Here is a 4,450-nt window from a genome sequence, read left to right on the forward strand (position 1 = left end):
TTCCTTGCAGTAAGTAGACAGTAGTAGTGTTTTGTTATATTGTTATTAAATGCCCTTTCTTGACCAAATAAAAAATTGGCAAACCTATCTTGACTTCCCAATTTATCCAGGAATGGGCTGACAGAGCAGAAAAAGACAGGGTTTCAAAACTAAATCAAAGGATGTTTAGTGGCAGTAAAAATGTACCAGAATGTGAGATTGTGGTCACCAGTAAAATTGCTGAATTTAAGGTCTGAAAGCCAGAGTAAAGGGTCATTCATTGATGGTAAAGACGATAATGATAATAACCATTCATTGAGTATATTACAAAATTAATTGTATCTAGTCATAACCACTGGTATCACCATATCAAAGAGAAGAAAACTGAGGCCCTAATTAATTTTCAGTAAAAAGTTAAGTTTTTCATACAACTTGACAAGAGGACTCTGAAATTCATAGAGTAGTAACAAGGCCAGGCATTCACAATGCAATTTGAAGAAAACAGGTGGGGAAGCTTATCTTGCTAGATATTAACACTTACTTATATAGTTGTAGCAATTATGACAGTATGGTATTGTTATAGAGGTTATACAAATACAGCAATGGAAGAGAATAAGCAACCCAGGATGTGTGGAAACCTGATTTGAGATAAGTGACATTACAAACCACAAAAACAAGTTTAACTCTTCAATAAATGGTGCTAGAACATAGTTGTCTGTATGTAAAATAATAACAAATGAGAGTAGATCCCTTTCTCATGCACAAAAAGTAAGTACTGGGTTGAGTAAAGCCCTAATATGAAGAATATAAGTTTAAAACTTTTAGCAAAAACACAGGTGAATACCTTTGTGATTTAGGGGTAGAAAAAGATTTCTTAAACAAGACTCCCAGAACACAAATTGTAAAGAAAAAGATGAATAAATTTGACTACACCCAAACCAAATTTCAGTATAAAAACAGACATACACGGCCAGGCACGGTGGCTCACGCCTGTAATCCCAGCACTTTGGGAGGCAGAGGCAGGTGGATCATGAGGTCAGGAGTTCAAGACCAGCCTGGCAAATATGGTGAAACCTCGTCTCTACTAAAAATACAAAAATTAGCCGGGAGTGGTGGCGGGCGCCTGTAGTCCCAGCTACATGGAAGGCTGAGGCAGGAGGATCACTTGAACCTGGGAGGCAGAGGTTGTAGTGAGCTGAGATCGCGCCATTGCACTCCAGCCTGGGCAACAGAGACTCTGTCTCAACCAAAAAAAAAAAAAAAAAAGACATACACTAGGAGAAGATAAGCAACAGGAAAAGATAAGCAACCAATGTAACCAACAAGGTAATATTTTCCAGAAAACATGTACCAGTGAAACTGATGAACAAACCAATAGCACAGTGGGCAAAGATGTCAAGAGCAGACTAGTAGGCATTTGGAATTAGACTCCTAGAATTAAGATTAGCCTAAAGAAATCTGGGCTGGAAATAGAGATTTGGGCTATATCTTAACGATCATATTTGAATTTGGGGCACTGGATGACCTAATGGGAAAAAAACATGAAAGAAATAAAAGTCTTGGGCCTAGCTAGGACAGGCAGAAGATGAGTGATCCAAGCTCAAGTGCTTGAAAGTAAATAATGACTCCTTTAACTGTATTTACATATTTATCTTGAGTTTTCTGACCACAGTTTCTTTATGTCTTTTAAAGATGGAGTCTAAAAACACTATCGCATAAGGTGGTCAGATAAGCCTATTACATCTATTTAGAGCAATATTATCTTTAGACCATGTTTCATGTGCAGCCAAGAAGGCAGGGTTGTGGAAATGAAATACAAATATAAATGAAAACAGGATTTAAATTTTAAGTAAAGGGAATTTAAGAAAATATTCCTTTTAAGTGGATAATAAGGATTTTTAAATTGGTGGAGTTAGGAATTATCTCCTATTACACATTCGCATAGCTCATGTAATGCATCAGAATACCTAATATATGATCCACACCTTTTCTCTGAATTTCAAGGCCTCCCAAAAAAGTTTTATCCATATAGACTTGCATTCACTACATTTTTTCTACTTGAAAATAGCAAACCAGCTATTCACATAAACTGCTAAGAGGAAGTAAGCCAACCATAAAAAATTACATACTGTAAAATTACTTATATGTGAGGGTCAAAAACATGCACAGCAATACAGAATAGTAGTAATGGTGGTGGATGTGGTTGGAAGGGTCGCTTTTTAAAAACGCCTCTATTGAACATTCTGTATATTGATGTGGGTGGTGGTTACCTGGAACTGTACATTTGGCATTTGAGCATTTTACTATATCTTTAAATTGAGGTATGTATTTTTTAATTCTTTAAAGAAAAACTGCTTGGAGGTCTTATTCTTAATGCACAACAATCACAAACATTAAATTTATACAGTCCAGAGAATGTAAAGTTGCTTTAAAAAAATTCTTTCCTTTTCTCACTTTAAAATACCAAGGGGAAAAATTAAACTCAACACAGCACGTCTTGCCCTTGTCAAGATGACAGATCCTCTAAGAGAAGAAACGAATAGGTAATGGCCTTTTCCAGATTTTCTTTTCCTAATGTACCCCACTTCCAACCTACCCCTACCTCAACTAGGGTATCTAGTTGTACCCAAGGGTGCTTCTACATTAGATCCACAGAGATTAAAGATAACAGTTAACAGAATAGTCCAGAGGACAAGGATATTCAAGTTCCATCATCTTCAGGATAAAAAAGCTCCAGGGTTTACCTCCAAACTCTCTCTAAAGGAAATCCCATCAACCTTTTAAACATCACTTTGTATACACCATCTTCTATACTGCCCTAGCTCAAAAACATGAACCTGTATCTAAACGTGTTTGTAGAATTTCCATTGTAAGTTTTACTTTAACAATTTTGAACAATTATAATGATAGAAAATTATTTAATCTAGATTTTGGTCAACTCTATTACTGATATTCTTTTTTAGTGAAGGACAATCACAAACACTAAATTTATACAGTCCAGAGAATGAAAGATTGCTTTAAAAAATTCCTTCCTTTTCTCACTGTAAAATAAAAATACCAAGGGGAAAAATGGAAAGTATTTATTATAACTGGCTGTTACACTGTCATACACAATGAAATACTGGACCATTAGCAGTTCGTTATTATATGTTGTTAAGTGTAGAACTGTAAATAATGAGGCATATTATTAAGATATCACACACATTATCCAATCAGCAAGTGCACAACTTCGGACATTTTGACTTCAGCCAAAATATGAAACAAAGTCATAGCAAGAAAGTTATTTCAAGGGAGTGAAATTTTCTCCTCTTACCCTTCAAATCTTTTAGAGATATTAATAAAAACAACTATCCAGCCTGGGCGATATAATGGGACTCCATCTACATACACACAAAAATTTTTAAAATTCGTTGGGTGTGGCAGCACACGCCTGTAAACCCAGCTACTTGGAAGGCTGAGGCAGAAGGATCCCTTAAGCCGGAGTTAGAGTCTGCGGTGAGCTATGATCTGACCACTGCACTACAGCCTGGGCGATAGAGCGAAACCTTGTAACAACAACAACAACAACAAAATTAAAACCTTCAAGATCAAGCTTGCCCAACAGGATGGCTTTGAATGCCACTCAATGCAAATCTGTAAACTTTCTTAAAACTTTATGAAAAAAAATTTTTTTTTAGCTCATTAGCTACCATTAGTGTTAGTGTATTTATGTGTGGCCCAAGACAATTCTTCTTCCAGTGTGGCCTAGGGAAGCCATAAGGACCCCCTGCGCTAGACTTCAGCAGAAGCCTTGTAACATAAAGAAAACCATACATAAGGCTTTAGATTCTTTTTTTTTTTTTTTTTTGTGACGGAGTCTTGCTCTGTCTCCCAGGCTAGAGTGCAGTGGCACATTCTCGGCTCACTGCAACCTCCGCCTCCCTGGTTCAAGCGATTCTCCTGCCTCAGTCTCCCGAGTAGCTGGGACAGGCACCTGCCACCGCGCCCGGCTAATTTTTCTATTTTTAGTAGAGACGGGGTTTCACCATCTTGACCTGGCTGGCCTCGAACTCCTGACCTCGTGATCCACCCGCCTCGGCCTCCCTAAGTGCTGGGATTACAGACGTGAGCCACCGCGCCCGGCCAGCTTTGGATTCTTTTACCACTTTCCCGAAGGAAAAGGAACTGAAAATATCTAAGGAAGGACTACTACGAATCTTCTCTGAGTGGCAAAAACCAGAGGTTTTTGGAGCTAGGGCTGCAGTTAAGTTGCCAAGGGGCAGAGATGTAAACAGTTCCTGGTTTAGTTAAAATATTTTAATTTTTATTTTTTTAAGCCTGGCCTTTGGGTGAAGGAGTAAAATTAGGCACTGGGGTCTGGGTAGGGGGAGGATACTCATGGGCGAGTATGCAACCCTAGGGCCACAGCACCCAAACTGTAGGGGAAGAGGCGGGGCGAGAGGGGACGAAGTAGAGACAGCAAGAGACTCAC

The 4,450-nt window shown here is 38.3% G+C and overlaps 1 protein-coding gene across 2 annotated transcripts in view, besides 1 other annotated feature; it reads right to left on the reverse strand.

Moving 5' to 3' along the window:
- Nucleotides 1–4,450, reverse strand: part of UBE2D3 (ubiquitin conjugating enzyme E2 D3) — a 74,513-nt gene that overhangs the window by 69,882 nt on the left and 181 nt on the right. The gene's annotated exons all lie outside the window — the stretch shown is intronic.
- Nucleotides 4,179–4,318: an enhancer, noted in NCBI's record as "active region_21762". NCBI's record gives its function as "activates an Ori minimal core promoter by ATAC-STARR-seq in GM12878 lymphoblastoid cells {active_cell/tissue: GM12878}" and the evidence as "EXISTENCE:reporter gene assay evidence [ECO:0000049][PMID:35858748]".

This window comes from Homo sapiens, chromosome 4 (genome assembly GCF_000001405.40).
Source record: "Homo sapiens chromosome 4, GRCh38.p14 Primary Assembly".
NCBI classification, from domain to species: Eukaryota; Metazoa; Chordata; class Mammalia; order Primates; family Hominidae; genus Homo; species Homo sapiens.